The 17,816-nt window shown below is 41.1% G+C and overlaps 1 protein-coding gene and 1 pseudogene across 40 annotated transcripts in view, besides 1 other annotated feature; both read right to left on the bottom strand.

Moving 5' to 3' along the window:
- KALRN (kalirin RhoGEF kinase) overlaps positions 1 to 17,816 on the bottom strand; it is a 692,957-nt gene that overhangs the window by 312,394 nt on the left and 362,747 nt on the right. For all 40 annotated transcript variants that reach the window (NR_170953.1, NR_170952.1, XM_006713810.4 and 37 more), the window contains 2 exons: positions 15,061 to 15,235; positions 267 to 462 (listed from right to left, as the gene is read on the bottom strand). Coding sequence is in view for 38 of the 40 variants with exons in the window: in XM_006713810.4 (XP_006713873.1) it covers positions 267 to 462; positions 15,061 to 15,235 (371 nt within the window). In the remaining 2 variants the exon portion in view is untranslated. The remainder of the gene's footprint in view (positions 1 to 266; positions 463 to 15,060; positions 15,236 to 17,816) is intronic.
- Positions 3,155 to 4,354: an enhancer, noted in NCBI's record as "BRD4-independent group 4 enhancer chr3:124128425-124129624 (GRCh37/hg19 assembly coordinates)". NCBI's record gives its function as "activates an origin of replication core promoter dependent on BRD2, P300/CBP, MED14 and CDK7 cofactors, and independent of BRD4, by STARR-seq in HCT116 cells {active_cell/tissue: HCT116}" and the evidence as "EXISTENCE:reporter gene assay evidence [ECO:0000049][PMID:35650434]".
- Positions 6,149 to 6,241, bottom strand: RNU6-143P (RNA, U6 small nuclear 143, pseudogene; annotated as a pseudogene).

Here is a 17,816-nt window from a genome sequence, read left to right as displayed (position 1 = left end):
GTTTCACCATGTTGGCCAGGCTGCTCTCGAACTCCTGACCTCAAATGATCCACTCACCTCAGCCTTCCAAAATGCTGGGATTACTGGCATGAACCACCACACCTGGCCTCGTTTCCTTTCTTTTAAAAAAAATGTGGGTAAAAATCTCTATTCTTTGTATCTGTAGGAATAAAATGAATAAACGATGTGGCACTGCTCCTTGCAGGCTAGATGGTATGCTTGTTTTCATCATCTCCTCTGCCAGGAGAATGAGCGAGGTCACCCACCTGATGCCTGGACCTCCGTGATGTACTGGTGCAGATCCTGTCCCTGCTGGATAACCTCAAAGGTCATGTTGTTCATGGCTAGCTTCCGTTCTGTGTGGCGCTGCAGCCGCTGTTCTGCCAGGGTTAGGTCCTCTGTGTTGAAGTCATTCATCTGCCGAAGCAAGTCTTCATTCCAGGCGTCTAGCTCTGCTGTCACCTGTGAGGGAACCACTGTCATCAGCACAGGCTCACCAGGTCCACGAGAGATTGTTAGGTTAAGGCTCACAATTCCAAGCCTTATTCATGAATCCACCCCTCAGTTAAGTCTCTGCTTTGGAATTCTTCAACCCTTAGACTATTTAAGCAACATTGCCATGCACTCTTGTATACATGGCTCCAAGAGTGCTCTCTAGTGTTTCAATGCCTATAGCAACAGCAAAGGAACAGCAGCAAACATTCATATTATGAATTATGGCTTATAAAGTTTTTGCATACTCCTTGATGTTCAATCCTCACAATAACTCAATGAGGCAGGCATGGTGGAGATCTCCAGGTCCATATTCTAGGAGAGGAAGTTGACCCTCACACAGACAGATGGGGTTATTTACCCTGCCAGAGAGGGATAAAGTTCTTCTACTAACTGCAAAGACTTTGTCTACCATCCCACAGTTGTTGCTGTTACAATTTTCATAACTAAAGAGGTCCTCAGAAATTAAGTAGTATTTCAAAAACAGAAACTGAGGGCTAGAAAAACCTGGTGAATGGCCCAAAGTTACACAATCAGTTAAAGAGCTGGTGTCCATCAAACCCAAGGGTCCTGCTCTGGTTCCTGTGTTCTATTGTGCAACATTCTGTCCTTCTATTACAAAGGTTGACACCTAAAAATAGTGACTAAACAAAGTATAAATGTGTAGCATACCTCCAGGAATTCAAGCAGATTTAATCAATTGAAAGGCATTAATGATTCTAATGAATACTAAAGCATGTAATGAATGCAAACATTGCCTTAATAGCAGCTTGCTAATTGTTCATTTCTCTACACCTTAACTCACATGACTTCACTGGGTCTACTCTCAGTTTTCTGCAAATCGAGACTAAATCCTACACTTCCTTTACAATCTCTGCAATCATCCACAGACTAGGAAGTCAGAAGTACTGAACTAGATAATTCCACTTGTGTGAATCAAAATTAAAAGTTTTTAAAAGTGATTTTCAGATCTGCTATCTCATGCTACCCCGATGACACCCCTTGAAGGCGACAGCATGTGTACTGTCATCCTCTTTTCTCAGGAGACGAAAGTGTCACTCCAGGTCACACATTTCCAGGATGGCCCAGGCCATCTAAGCATATATCCCAGAGCCTTAGTTGAGTGGTTTTCATGATGCTGGGTCTCATGCCAGCTCCCACATGGCATAACCTTCCAAGTTATCAAAAACTGCTGCTCCAGGAGCATCAGGGACACAGGGAGACAGACGATGGATTGAAGCAAGTGGGAGCGGTGCTCTTATATTCCATGCTGGGGTACACACACTGGGATGGGAAAGCCAAGCAGCCCCTCACAAGGGGCTGCTGTCTGGGTCACAGGATTTCATTTTTTTTGTCTAACAACAAGACCTTTCTTCAAGCAAAATAGAAACAGATTAAATTGTACTTTCTCTCTTTGAAGCAGAAATGGGGAAATTGAAAATATCACTCTCACTGCCCTAGGTTCTCACTTCACACCCCACATCTTTTCAGGTCAATTTAGAGAACTGCTGAGCTCAGCAGGAAAACCCAGTATTACTTATTGTGGGGCATCCTTGGGGGATCTGGGAGCCACTGGGTTGGCAGGCAAAGTAGGTTTTTGTTAAAGCCCCATCTTTGAAAAGTACTTCATTCTCTAACTCAAGAAAGGGGTTAGACTGATGAGGCTAAAATAGATTATTTAAAAAGATAATTTAGCCTGGGTGCAGTGGCTTGTGCCTATAATCCCAGTGATTTGGGAGGCCAAGGCGGGAGGATCACTTGAGGCCAGGAGTTCAAGACCAGCCTGGTCAACGCAGTGAGAACCTGTCTCTCCAAAGCAAATAATAATACATTAGCTAGGCATGGTGGCATGCACCTGTTGTCCTTGCAACTTGGGAGGCTGAGGCAGGAGAATCACTTGAGCCCAGGAGTTCAAGGTTGTAGTGCACTATTATTATGCTACTGCACTCCAGCTTGGGTGATAGAGACCCTGTTTCTTAAAAAAAAAAAAAAAAAAAAAAAAAAAAGCATAATTTAAAGTATACATAGGCTTTTACAGTTTTTATAGAACTAGGCCTTTTTCGTTACTGTATGTTAAAAACTGAAGTATAATTTACATACAAAATACACATATTTTAAGCATTCAGTTCTGAGTCTTGACAATTTTATACACCCATGTAGTCATCGCCAAAAATAAACTATAGAGCCTTTCCATCACTCTAGAGAACCTGCTTGTGCCCCCTTCCAATCCATCCCTCCCCTTCCCAACCCACAACTAGGCACCAATTTCTGATTTCTATCATCATAGATGTAGTTTTGCCTATTCTAGAATTTAATATGAATGAAATCTTACAGAATTTTTTTTTAAACATCTGGCTTTTGTTCAACATGTTGTATCAAGATTCATCCACGCTGCTGTGTGTATGTTTAGTTCATTCCTTGCTACAGCTGAGTAGAGTATCATTGTACATATAGGCCACAGTGTGTTTATCCATTCTCCTCCTAATGAATTATTGGGTTGTTTCCAGTGTTTGGCTAATATGAATAAGGTTGATGTGAAAGTTCTTATAGAAGTCTTTCTGTGGACATAGGTTTTCATTGCTCTTGCACAATTACTTAGGGGTGGAATTATATATAGGTCATAGGGTAGGTGTATGTTTAACTTTATAAGGGAACCATCAGATTTCCTCAAAATGATTGTAATATTTTACATACCCAGGAGCAACGTATTCAAGTTCCGGTTGCTCTACACCCTCACCATCACTTGGCATTATCAGTCTATTTAATTTTAACCATGCTAGTGGGTGTGAAGTGCTATTTCATCATGGTTTTAAGTTGTATTTTCTTGATGACTCACGATGGTGAGAACATTTTCAAATGCTTATTGACCATTTGTATATCTACTTTTGTAAGATGTCTTTTCAAGTCTTCTGCCCTTTTTAAAATACTGAGTTAATTAACTTTTCATTGTAGATTTGTAAAAGTTCTAAATATATTCTAGATGTAAGTTCTTTATCAGATAATATATGTAAAATAGCCCAAATCACAATTTTTACTCCATTTTCTGGCCTACAAACTAAGGGGAATTAGAATAAAACTAAGACAACAAGCATGAAAGGAAGAGCCTGCCTTTTCTTTTGATTTTAGGTTCTGTTTGTTTCTGTGAAACTGAGTCTGAGGTATCTATTTGCTGCAGGAAGATCCAAGGAGTCCCATAGCCAGGAATCTATGGAGTGGAAGGTGCCGACGGTCCTGGTGAGGGAGAAGAGAGTCACGTCAGAGGGCTTTAGTTGAGAGAGTGATCTCAGAGGTCTGGAATCTTGGGAATTCAAATCTAAGCTAAATGTGAAATATGTCCAGGATTCTGTACCTGGTGTTTCTATATTCTTTCATCTCCTCTCCTTACCCTCCTCCACTCTCATCATCTGACACCATTGAATTGAGGAACCCAGGTCTGTTATGAAGCCTGGAGAATGGGAATTTCCAGGGCCTCCTCCTAAGGCTGCCCTCCCTGGGTCCGCAGGCTCTCTCCTCTTTCTGTTGGACTCCCCCTCCCTTCTCTCCCCCAGGCACTGATGCCCACAGCTTTCAATTAGTCTGATTTGTGTGTGTTTAATGTATACTGGAATTTAAATTATTCTCTTTCCTAAGTATTTTCTGTTTCCTCAAGGAATGTTTTTTTCATTAGGTTCTTCCTCCCCACCTTCTTTCTGGGGCATAAGGCTGGAAGACAATAGAGGCTCATTTTTTAAAAAGAAAAATAGTTGTTTTCAAACCTTAAGTTGACCTTACTGCTAATGAACAAACCTAGCTTCCCAGGCTTACCCTGTGCTCTTGTTGTGAACCAGTCAGATGGTTTACTTGCTGATGCTGAGAGCAAGTTCTGCCCTCTCCAGCCTTCTTCACTAGCCTAATAGCCCTGAAACGCCCTTGTCCTTCCTCCCAATCTGCTTAAGCCCTGACCACCCTTCAGAGTAAACCCTCTGGCATGAAGAGCTTCACGACAACACCTAGACCCGAATATTTTTCTCTGGCTTATCTAATAACATGGGTCATGGGTTAGTTTGCTAATACAGAGAGACAAGACTGAAAAGAAAAGCCTGTGCCAGTGAGTGAATTTAGTGATTTAACTCCATCTGGAGAGAATTTGTTCAGGCTAGAAACTAGGGCCTGAAGCCAGTGAATGAAAGATGGAACACAAGGTTCCCAGAGGGCATTCCGCTTTCAGTCAACCTATTTTGCTTTCTCCTTCCACTCAGTTACTTCCACCTCAGTTCCCCACTTGCTCTAGTGGCCTCTGTCTCCCCCACTCTCCTGAATTAACTGCAGTTAGGAAATGATGACTTTTTTGACAGATACATTGGCAATATTTCTATTCTAACAATTGTCTACTCTAGAGACATCAATAAGGGAAATCAGAGAAAGTGCCAAAATAAAATTTAAAAAAGGGTAAGAGGCAGTGGGAAATGGAAAATGGGAAGCCTCACTTCAAAAAGAAGCCCAAGGTGTTCCTGCTAGATGAGATACACCAAATCCAGTATTCTGCCATCAAAATTTGCTTCATAGGAGTTGGTTTAGCAGTCACCTTGAGCTCTGCTTTCAGAGAGCTCTCTCCATTGGTTCCTCCTGTTTTCTTGGTCTTCCCCAGTATTTATGTGTAGAGAAAGCTATAGTCCCTCTTCCCCAGATGTTTTGAACTGTATCTGCCTGAATCAAAATTCACCTGCCCCTCCCTTTTTTTTTTCCCCACTTCCTATGGTCTACCCACTTCAACTCTTTATCACCTGCAACATTGGAAATCTCACTGTATAGTTCTTTCTTCAGATCAGTGTTTAGATGTTGGCAACAATGATGAAGATAGTATGATTGAAGAAGACATTTTACTTTGTATTGTGCATTTATTATGGGGCAGGCAATGTGTTAAGTGTTTGATCAACTTTATTTAATCCTCATAGCACTATAGGAGGAAATGAAAGCACAGAGAAGTCATATAGTTTCTCCCATGGTCTCAGAGCTGGTGGTGGTAGAGCTGAGCATTTAATGACCAAGTCCAATGCTCTTAACCATGGTGTTACAACAATAGGGCTGCTCCAAGAATTGATTTTGGGGGATATCTTTCTTTTTACTATTCTCACTTCAGAAAAGTGCCAGTTTTACCCTTCTTGTTTTCTTCTTCTTCTAAAACAAAAACAAAAACAAAACAAAAAACAAAACCCATAATTCAGTTTTCTTCACTTCACATGAGCCTTTTAAATTAATCATATTTTTTTTAGCAGACCAAGAAATTTTGTGTTTGTGGCCTTAGATAAATGCCAGGCATAATTTATCCTTGCAAGAAAACGCACTGCCTTCCTCCAGTATTTCTTTTCCTTTTTAAAAAAAAGTTTTGGCCAGGCACAGTGGCTCACGCCTGTAATCCCAGCACTTTGGGAGGCTGAGGCGGGCGGATCACGAGGTCAGGAGATCGAGCCCATCCTAGCTAACACGGTGAAACCCCGTCTCTACTAAAAATACAAAAAAAATAGCTGGGCGTGGTGGCGGGTGCCTCTAGTCCCAGCTACTCGGGAGGCTGAGGCAGGAGAATGGCGTGAACCTAGGTGGTGAGCCGAGATCGTGCCACTGCACTCCAGCCTGGGCAACAGAGCGAGATTCCGTCTCAAAATAAAAAATAAAAAAAAAATTTATGGAATGCTTCACGTATTTGTGCGTCAGGGCCCATGCTAATCTCTGTATCGTTTCAGTTTAGTGTATGTGCTGATGAAGTGAGCACAGTATAGTACATTTTTAAAGAGTTTAGTAATTTTTTTTAAACCGACTCTGCCAGATTGCTCAGTATAAAGGTAATATTAACCTATATAGAATTATCTGGTTATCCAGATGCCTTTGTCATGAATAGGAAACACATCTGCAATTTGGTATTGAGACTTAAATTGCAGCAGATAGAAATATGATCTGTTCCCAACACAGGCAGGGTCTCTGTAAGGCAAGAGCAAATGACTTTGGCTCCCACAGCAGGTTCTCTGCATAAACATTCAGGGATCTCCTAATATGACTCAGTAACAAATCAGAAGAGAAACAATGAGAAAGAATAAGAAGGGATGTTTAACTGCTTAAAACCTGGAAGCAAATATATATATATATATAAAAGAAAACATATTATGAATAATAATAACAATGCTGACTACTATGTATTAAGTGCTGATTAACTGTCAGGAGCTTTGCTAAACATATTATGTGTTAACTTATTAAATCCTCACAGTAACCCAATAGGCTGGGAAATATTATTTCGTTTCCATTTCTCAAATGAGGAAACCAAGGCTTCAAGGGCAATTTGCCTGGCTGGGTGCAGTGACTCACGCCTGTAATCCCAACACTTTCGCAGGTGGATCACCTGAGGTCAGGAGTTTGAGACCAGCCTGGCAAGCATGGTGAAACCCCATCTCTACTAAAAATACAAAAATTAGCTGGGCGTGGTGGCGCATACCTGTAATCCCAGCTACTCTGGAGGCTTGAACCCAGGAGAATCACTGGAACCCAGGAGGCGGAGATAGCAGTGAGCCGAGATCATGCCACTGCACTCCAGCTTGGGTGACAGAGTGAGACCCTGTCTCAAAAAAAAAAAAAAAAAGCAAAGCAACTTGCTTAAGGCCACACAATTAGTAAAGTTAGTAAAACAGGTTTCAAACCCAGGCAGTCTAACTCAAAATACTACACACTTGATCACGGCATTACTGTCTCTCAGCAAAGGTGATTATATACATTAATCAACACTACATATGTTGCATATGTTAAGATTCAATCTCATTCCAATTACCAGTAGGAAGAAAGGGTCCATGGCATTTCACTGTGATGGGATGCCATTGACATACCTGGGTTATCAATTGCAAAATGGCATCTTTCTGTTTTATGACATCATTATTTTTGTGAAGATGAGGAAAGTGGAAGACAAATATTCTCCACTGCCCTACAAATGCTGGCTGATAGGGAAAGACATATTGCAGCTGAAGAAACCACCTCATTGCATGGGAAGATCTATTTTATCTATAATTTTTGATATAGGTTACCACGATGAATAAAATAGCTAAAGTACCATGGTCATTTACTCTTCTTGTCCAATATAATGTTGAGTTCCTCTCTGCTAATCAATTCTTACAATGATAAGATTAGTGACTTCTAAAGCAGATTATTTTAAAGTTATCATAGCATTTCCCTGTTTTAGTAATATGTATAATCTCTCTGAAGAGTTAAAATATTTGTTTAAATAGCTAAAGACCTTTGGGAATATTGTAAGAAATTTCCAGAAAAGCAAAGGGACTTGGAAATAATGAAATCCAGTCAGTTTTTAATTTTTGGCAAAATAATGTGAGAACATATTGCAAAAATGCTGTAATTGATGAGTTCCAATGTTCAATTACTTAATTTCTATACCAATTGAATAATTTGGATAATTGGATTATTTTTATGGCCAATTTTATGTTCTTTTCTTCTCTATCATCATGATTAAAACTGAGATCCTTGGCCAGGTGTGGTGGCTCACGCCTGTAATCCCAGTACTTTGGGAGGCCGAGGCGGGCGGATCACGAGGTCAGGAGATCGAGGCCATCCTGGCTAACACAGTGAAACCTCATCTCTACTAAAAATACAAAAAAATTAGCCGGGTGTGGTGGTGGGCACCTGTAGTCCCAGCTACTCAGGAGGCTGAGGCAGGAGAATGGCGTGAACCCAGGAGGTGGAGCTTGCAGTGAGCCAAGATTGTGTCATTGCACTCCAGCCTGGCTGACAGAGCGAGACTCCGTCAAAAAAAAAAAAAAAAAAAAAAAAACCCTGAGGTCCTTGATATAATCACAACTGTCAATTAACAGGGTTGGGAGGGATCTTGGTCATTCCTTTTTATACTTGTGTCCATACCTTTGCCTTTTATCATTTTGAGATTTGTGGAACTCTATTCTCCTTTTAAAAGATCTCTCTTTTGTTGAAGAGCTCCTATAACGTATATTGCTCACTCATTCTAGAACCTAGTTATGCTTGAGTGTCAGAATGTTTTCTCCCCCTGTGTAAGCTGAACACCTTCTACTGCATCCTTACCAGAAAGGAGGAGCATATAGCATTTGAACCTTGATAATTTTACTTGAGTTCAGGTCCACAGCCCCAGACCCACCCCATTACAGAGTGATCTGAACATTTCCATCAGGGATTTTTGACAGTTCTACTGAAAACAGGTGACCTGCCAGAATACTAAAGCTGTGTGAAAAATCCTGATTTTTTTAAAAAAGGACGATAGTAGGGAAAACCTCCCAGTGATCCTGAAATTAATTTGTCAAAAAGTCTAGAAGAGACTATGAAATAAATATTTTGTGAGGATTAGGTTTACTTCATTGTATTCATTCTACATGTTCTTTCCAAAGGTTCTGGGGGTACTTAGAAAATGTGACAGTGATCACTAGGAAGAGTGCACAAAGATGACCTCAAATAGATCTTAGCTTCTTTCTTGATACAGTTGCAATGTTGGTGGATTTGGCATGTTACAAACGTGGAGAACAGCAAGGCCTTGCAGTCTCGAATGGTTTTTATGGAAGAAAAAGTGGCGAAATTGGACTCGATGATGGGCTCTTAGATGATCCACAGCTAACAGTGACTGTGCAGACTAATGGCTCTGTGTCCCCCAGATAAGAACCTGTAGTGATGCACCAGACAGCCCTGTCTTACCTGCCCAACTTTTCAAACAGCCACAACATTGATAGTAATAATAAATTAAATTTATATCTATTTTCACAGGCAGAAGAACTGTGCAAAAAAAAAAAAAAGAAAAAGACTAAATTTGAGTGACAAAATATAAAAGCTGACATTGAAGTTTTTTTTTTTTAAGTCAGTGTACTGGAAGCCCATACTTTCAAATGACAACCAGGAGCTTTTAAGCAAGCAAAGACTAGACAAGACAGGTGATGAAGTCATTAAAAAGGTACCTATCTCCTGGGCTGCACCAGAGCCAGTACTCTGAAGAGGACACATCCAAGCCTATATGTGAGCCAGGCTCCATTCAGCAGACAGTGACCAAGACAGTCAGTGACTAGAGACCATGTCCTATCCAGAAAGAGGTGAATAAAATAGAGGATATATACCATAGAGGGCTGACACTAAGGAGAAATCATTATAACATTTTTAGAGTCACCGGGACTGCAGAAATAACTCATACAAGCTCACCATTTTTCAGATAAAGGAAAAGAGGCCTATGATAAACATTTTCAATTATTTTTAAGGCTCCCAAATAAGAGGGAGCAGACTAGTTCTCTCTTTTTTTTTTTTTTTTCCAGAGAGCAGAACAAAGACCCAAGTGTAAAAGGTGGAGATTTTGGTTCAACACAATAGTGAGATGATGAGCTCCCTCCTTTCTTCTCCCTTCCCTGCTAAGCCCCTTTCTGGGCTCTGGAGATATTCTGGTAGAGGCTGGATGGCATCATCCAAGGATGCCAAATCCTAGCCACCAACTTTTGCCTGCCCTCAGGTGTAACCTCATTGGGAAACCCTCTATGAACATCCTGACTGGGCTAAGCATCTGCCTCTTCCAGTGTTCTCTGCAAACTAGGAGCCTCTATCATAGAATTCTTAAATTGTATGATGATTCTCTGTTTCTGTGTCTCCCTGTTATGTCCTCAATGTCCAACATAGTTTTTGCTACATAAGGAGGTGCTCACCAAATGTTTACTGAGTTGAATTTCTATATAGGTAAAAGGCTGACCGAATGGTCTCTTTCTAATATAAAATGCTAAGGGCCTCTGTGTGCAACTAATTGAAGAGTTGAGACCACCAGTAAGTTATAATCAGCTTATCTTCTCTAGGCAGAAGTTTCTTCCTTGAATGCCATTTCTCCCCAGCCTTAGCCTGGCCCCTATTTGTTTTACATGAACCCCATAGATTTAGAATTGATATATCATTCCCTACTCAAATAAACTTTCAGGTGCATTAAGCATACCTCGCTTGCAATTACACAGTTAGAGATTTAAAAGAAAAACCATAAAGGTGGCCCATATTTTCAGAAAGTCCCTTGTCTAGAATATCCTTCTTAGTGTCATTTCTAAGGCTTTCCAACATAAGTATGCCCATCTCAGAAAATGCCCCAAATTATCCAATGATGGTAGAAAAACTATCTTGATATAAATATGCATATATGTGTATATATATTATATTGTGCACATATATTTTATCAAGCCAATACAAAGTATATAAAATTTCCCAGGATTTTCATTAGTAGACTGGTGCTGGAGTCTCACTCTGACCACATGGCAGATGGCTTTGTGTAGTGCACGAAAAAGAGAGCTCCTCGGGGAAGGGGGGAAGGTAGGAGTGTCACAACTCAGTGGCTGACTGTGGCTCATTTGTTCATTGCTTTCAGCACATTTCAAATTATTGCTTTTTTTCATGTGTCCAGTTAAATAGATTTATCTACTATCTAGTTTTAACTAAACTAACCTTCACAAAAAGACACGTGGTTTAACGAGTTTCCTGCAAAGAAACTGCAGTTTGAAGATAATACCAATCATGAAAGCACAAGAGAACTTTGAATTCTCTGTCAGCCACATTATGGGGTAAGGCAACAATGACAATCTAATCTGATCTCTCAAGAAACCAGGCAAAAAATAATTGGAAATTATCAGAAGACTATTTGAAATATGGAACCCACAATTTCTAATGAAAAAACTAAACCTCTCCCAAAGAGCATGTTGAATTTTGAAATTATTAGGCAGTGACCGAACGTTTTTATAACTTAAAAATGAATAAATATTTATATGTAGGGGGTTGCAAGTTCAAAAAAATTGAGAAGGCACACAATCAAAAATGTTTGGAGACCACTGGCCTATTCTTGCTTCTAAAAATATTTTTCATTTCTTTCTGATTATCCTAATTGTATAAAACTTGGAAATGCAAGAAAGCATCAAAAATAAGAAAAAAAATCACCTGTATTCTTACCATCACAAAATAAACATTTGTATTTGGTGAAATGTCTCTTCTATCATAACTAGTTTATATAAAATGTCTTTCATAGAAGGAGGCTGAACCTAAAGGAAAAAAACGTTATAGAACATCATGTTCCACTATAGGTCACTTTGGTCTCCATGGAGTCCAAGAAGGTATACCAGGAATCCAGCTATGGGCCTGGTTTTGAACATCTGACTAACAAATTTAGGATGTTTCACTTTATGTGGGCATGCCCTATGATCTCATTCCAGGTTATAATGTGAGTACCATTATTATTGAGTACAAAGAGATTGGTGCAGCAGCTCATGTGCTATCCTAATGATTACATTAACTGGCTCATCTGGGCCCTCAGTGATATGGCTAAGGAGTCATGTTTAGATTCCTCAGATGCAGGGTAGCAGTCCTCCTCCAGTGTTCAGTAATCCTGAGGAATTTGGAGCATGTCTATCAAATGCCTTCCTTTAGGAAGGAAACCACACTGTAGGTCCTGTAATCACAGACCCTGCCCTGGCTTATGTCAGCATAAACACGCCTCTCGTTACAGAAACCACCCTCAGTTTCACACCAGAAGCTTCTCTAAAAGTTTGTTCTTCATCCCCACAGTGAGACATAGCTGGTATTTGAATAATCTCAACACCCTCAAAAATAACTTCTGACAATCTGACTTGAAGCAGAACTTTTCTATAGGTTTGGCAGGATTTCCAGTTCTAAGATTAGATGTAGCATTCTCCCCAAGCTTTTGGGCCTCCCCCACAAGACAAGGGAATAAGACCCCTTGTAAAATCCGGACGTTATAGCCTACACCAGAGGATGCAGGATCCTATCATGATTTTTCTCTCCCTCATTTTATGAGGCCCTCACACTCTTGCTCTCCTGCATACCAGGTTGTCCAGTACTTAGGGTGGGACGAGGAATTTTTATACATACAAAGGCTAAAGAATGCAAATCCAATAATTTATTTGTTTATTTTTTATTTTTTTCTGAGACAGGGTCTCACTCTGTCATCTAGGCTGGAGTGCAGTGGTGTGATCACAGCTCACTGCAACCTCCGCCTCCTGGGCTCAAGTGATCCTACCATCTTAGCCTCCTGAGTAGCTGGGACCATGGGTGCTCACCACCACACTCGGTTTTTGTTTATATTTTTGGTGGAGATGGAGTTTCACCACGTTGCCCAGGCTGGTCTTGAGCTCCTGAGTTCAAGTGATCTGCCAGCCTCAGCCTCCCAAAGTGCTGGGATTATAGGCGTGAGCCACCACCCTTGGCTCCATAATTTAAGTGTCAAGTTCCTCTCTCGTAACCTTTAAGCCAGATCCAATTTTAATGCATGTGATTTAAACCCACATTTTTTAAAGGATATTTTCTCCATATGCTTTGGATTGTTTTTTAGGAGTGGAACTTGATTTGCCTACAATCGATGCTAGTAAAGACACACTTGCGATGCCCCCAGCTGATGTGAGGGGTGTAGTCGATGTCAAAGTGAAGCTAACTGACCCATTCCAGCGCTGAACCAGCAACCCTGACTTCCAGGTCACAGCTATCTTTTCAAATAAAACTTAATCCAAACCCTCAGATTGTTTCCTCCCCCTTAAGCATGTTTTGAAGCAGACCTGGAATGACAGGAGAGTAAATAAGAAGTACAACAGCAAAACCACCACACCTGCTAACATAATTTCTCCATGGATATATTCTCTCCCAGTGGGCAAAATGGAGCTGAGGAATGATTGCAGGAATGCCTTGGGCTACTTTAATCAACTTAGCCTGTATTTATTTTTGTACATCTCAATCCATATTACTAAAGAATAATGACCCATACCCTCTCTTTTATCTCTTTATTACCTTGTTACCCTGCCTTTACAATGTTCACTACATACACTCTTCACTACATGTCAATATTTTTATTTTCCCACTGGCATTTTTATTGTTTTTCAAAATGTGTGTTGATACTACTTGCCACCTGAAATCCTGACAGTACATTCAAAATAAATAATAAATATAAATAAATTCTCCTAAGGTTATGAAATCAGTTGGAAGGATAGTTAAGGTCTAGATTTAAAGGCTTAACTTCTCCTTTGTTCCAGGACCTGTCCAGAAAGCACCTTTTAGAACATGAAGTCTTTAAGCAAGAAATTACAAGTTCTCCCAAGGAGGCAGGAGTACAGATGTGCTTGTAAGAGAGTAGGGGATAGAAAGATGAGTACCTTTATGATTGCTTTTCTTTTACATTTCAGATTCTCAATATGAACATTTTTGGACCTAGGATTAAAGCAAAGGGTAGCTGTTCCCAAGATAGTCTCTTGTACTGAGTTGGATTAGGATGGGATATTGGAGCTTTCGATATATTAAAAAAAAAATTCCTTCTAAAGCTGTTCCATTGAAGTTTCCGCAGATATTATTGGGAAGCTCACCAAACCCAGAAGCCCTAACTCCAGAGAGATGGTTGGAATGGAAAACAAAGTTAAGAAATGGTGGGTGGAAAGTTGGCTTTTCCCCCTACCATACCAGCCAGGAGCAAACAGAAGACATGCCTTTAATTTAACCCTTTGCTATCCCTGAAAAGGAAAAAGTGCCTTATGTTGGATATTCCTTATACCACAGAAACCCTATTGGCCTGGCTTTAGTTATGGTTTCAAAGCAGAAAATATTAAAAGGGGGAAATTATGTGAAGGAAGACATTACTAATTGGTATGAGAAAGGGGACATAAATTTACCAGAATATGTGATTCCAACCTTCCAAAAATAAACTGAGGAGTTTATGAGATGAACTAACAAATGGTCTTAGCACAGGCTTACTTTCTTAATAGGTAGAAATCAAACTGCGGATACAGGTTCCCCTTCCTGTGGCGCTTGGCTTCTTAACTGCTGTGTGATTGAATCTAACGCATGATTTATATTATCAGCTCTAAGGAGGCCACCTAATTTTAACATCTATCCATTCATAAAGCTGTGAAATTCAATGACTCTACTCCAATCAGCAAACTACCAGCTCCATGGATGGTATTTCAGGAAAATGCCAAGTAAGAGTCTAACGGATAGCAATAAAAAACTTCTTGGCTAGGCACAGTGGCTCATGCCTGTAATCCCAGCACTTTGGAAGGCTGAGGCAGGCGGATCACCTGAGGTCAGGAGTTCGAGACCAGCCTGACCAACGTGGTGAAACCCTATCTCTACTAAAAATACAAAATTAGCCAGGTGTGGTGGCGCATGCCTGTAATCCCAGCTATTCGGGAGGCTGAGGCAGAAGAATCGCTTGAACCCGAGAGGTGGAGCTTGCAGTGAGCCCAGATCGCGCCAATGCACTTCAGCCTGGGCAACAGAGCGAGACTCCTTCTCAACAGAACAAAACAAAACAAAACAAAACGAACAAAAACAAACAAAAAAAACTTCTCAAGAAAGTAATCTACAGACAGAAAGTAAAATAGAGGGGCTCTGCTCGGCAGTAGGGGATGAGAGGGACTGGAAGGAATATGCCATGGTGGACTGGGAATTTCTTGGGTTCTAAAAATGCATGCTGGATGCTCTAATTTCCTTAGGCTACTGCCCTGCCCCTGGGGCAGTGCCCTTGGCCAGGAAGCACTTCTTGGCCCCTCTCCACCTCCCCTCCTGGCCCCCTGCTACCTCGATGGTGTACTGCTCAAAGATGCGCAGTTGCAGGAAGATGTCCAGCTTGATCTTCCGCTCGTGGAACAGCTCCTCCATCTGCACCTGGGCATCATCAAGCTGCTGCAGGACCGACTCGATGTGGCTGATGGAGCTGCTGTGGGGTGTTTTGTTGTTGGACACAGCCGAGTCCCTGTGGCAGAGTGGGGAGAAAAAAGGGAGGGAGAGGCCTTTCCATGTTAAAAGTGACAGAGGAGGAGGGGGATCTTCCTCATCTGAGCAAGGTGGATGTGAATCAGTTGAGTCATTCAATCAACAGACATTTATCAAACTCCTGCTGTGAGCCTGATGCTCTCTGCTTAATGAGTGAACCAAAGCTACATGCATCCTTTTTTGGGTTCACAAGTCTATTTCCAAGACTAGTTGTTCTCCTACTCCTCAAGCAGGATTGTGAAAGAAATAAGATGAAATAATGCATGAGAAAGGACTCTACAAGGCATAAAATATTAGAGAAATGGAATGGTTCCACACATATATGTAGTCTAATATGTATAGTTCCAACACACACACACATAAATCTATCACAATACGTACAGACAAACATACTAAAGGCATATTTTAAAAAAAATCTTCCTAGTTTTACTTCACAGACTCTTTGTTAAAACAGATGATGTCATGGTTGCCAAAATTGTAAGTATGCTCTTTATAAAGCTATGCTAAAGTTATGGGCTGGTGTTATTATACTAAACAGGCTCAGGCTATACTTAGGAAAGCATAGGATCTGGAGCCTGCAAACCTGAATTAGGTCTCTGCTCTGATACATTTAGGCTGGTGGCCCTGGGAAATCACCTCTCTGAGCCTCAGCTGCCTTATCTGTCAAGTGGACTTAATAATTTCTGCCCTGCTCACTTCACAGTTTGCTGTTAAATAAGAGTGCACATGAACTAAGACCAGTAACATGTATGGATAATTATTAATCCTGAAAGGACACAAGTGAAGTGTCAAGTGCTGATCAGGAGAGTAAAGGCTAGATCCTAAGAAGCTGGGACAACCAACAAAGGCTGCAAACAGTTTTGATTTGGGGGTTTGAAGAAATGGAGAAACACAGTCAAGTAATAGGAGGGGGTGCAGCCTCCTCTGAGCAGGCAGAGTCTATACAAACGTAGTAGGGAGAGGTGATGCCTTATAGAGGGAAGCCGAGAGATAAACAGATTGATTTGCTTAGCAAAATGAGGTGGTGATAACTATAATGGGAAAATGATGGTGGCTAAGAAGTTTAGATTCCATAGGGCCTTGAGTAAGCTAGAGCCCTAAAACTTGAAATAAACTGGCACATTCATTATCTTGTGACATCTTAGCTTCTCATACAATTTAAGGAGTCAAAGGACAAGGGGAAAATCATTTACTTCCAATCATCTCATCAGCAGGCTTTCTGAAAGCCATGTTCTTTTAGCCTGTGTTTGTCTCAGAAGCAATGGTATTTGAGTTCATTCTGTTTCTGAGGATGGCGTAAGGCTAATTTGTCAAGCACCCTTCCGTCTACCGGTCACAGGGCTCCCTATTCCTGCCTCCTCACCCTGGCCTGTTTGTTGTGATACAGGCACAATTTCTACTCCCACAACTGCACGGACATCCCCAGGCATGAAAATAACATGAGATGTACTCAGTGCTATCTGTTATGTATTTGTTGAGGGCTTTGCTGCTGGGAGGATGTGATTATTCTCTTGGACTTCTCCTCTCAGTCTTTCTCCATCACAAATTTTCCAGAAGGAAAGGAAAGATTTTGGACCATTTTATGCAGCACTATGTCAGTGTCACACTCACTAGGAATCACAGAGATGATGCAAAAGCTCCCTTAGGTGCTCTAGTAACAAGTGTCAGAAAGATCAGGAAGACATAGGGAAGATGTTTCTGGTGTGTGTGAGGCATCCTGTCAATGTCCACTAAGCACCATTTACTTCTTTTTCTCTTTGACATGCCTTGATGTCAGGGAGGGGAGCCTAGGCTAGAGTCAGGTTACTGGCATAATGAATGGTCGCCAGTGGCTCTTGGTCATATGCCTACGGTACTCTCTGAAACCCATGGAATTTAATCTTGCAGAGCAGGCATCACCCACATTGTTGCCTTTGCCATCATCAAGTAGCCTTATGCCCTTAGGCATTGTGCAGGTTTACAGTTGTTAAGAACAAGTGGCATCTCCGTAGGCCTAGCCCCACAGAAAGTGAAGCCAGCCAAGCCTGTGAAAAGTTTTTGAATAGATAACACAAAGCCATCACAAAATTCTAGAGCTGCCAGAGCTCCTAGAGTGAACCCCTTAATTACACAGACGAAGCAGCTGAGGCCCAGAGAGGTTAAATGACTGTCCACTATTAGGAATTCTCTTCGGAAGCAAATGACAGTGGAGTTTCCTAGGGAGGCACACAAAGCTGTCATGTATTATATATTCATGAAGATAATTAGGGGAAGAAGGAAAAGAGGCTGTCTTGTTAGCATGCAATAGGAGGATTTGGAGCATCTCATGTGCATATTTGGAATAGAAATTATTAATTTCCAACAGAAAAACATGCCAGGGCCTTCTAAAGGTAATTTCTCATTGTTTATTTAATTGGACAACTGGTATGGGTGAAAAAAACCCTCTCCAATTGACGTAATTCCCTCAGGCCCTAGGGATAGCCTGGGACTTGCTGATGAGATTATTTCTGTCCAGAGCTGGCAGAGGTCCCAGCACTCAGTGATTTTGGGATAGGAAAAAGTCCCTGTGGGCAAGCATCATT

This window comes from Homo sapiens, chromosome 3 (genome assembly GCF_000001405.40).
Source record: "Homo sapiens chromosome 3, GRCh38.p14 Primary Assembly".
Classification (NCBI taxonomy): Eukaryota; Metazoa; Chordata; class Mammalia; order Primates; family Hominidae; genus Homo; species Homo sapiens.
The sequence above is the reverse complement of the archived record's forward strand: the minus strand, read 5'-3'. Positions and strand labels throughout refer to the sequence as shown.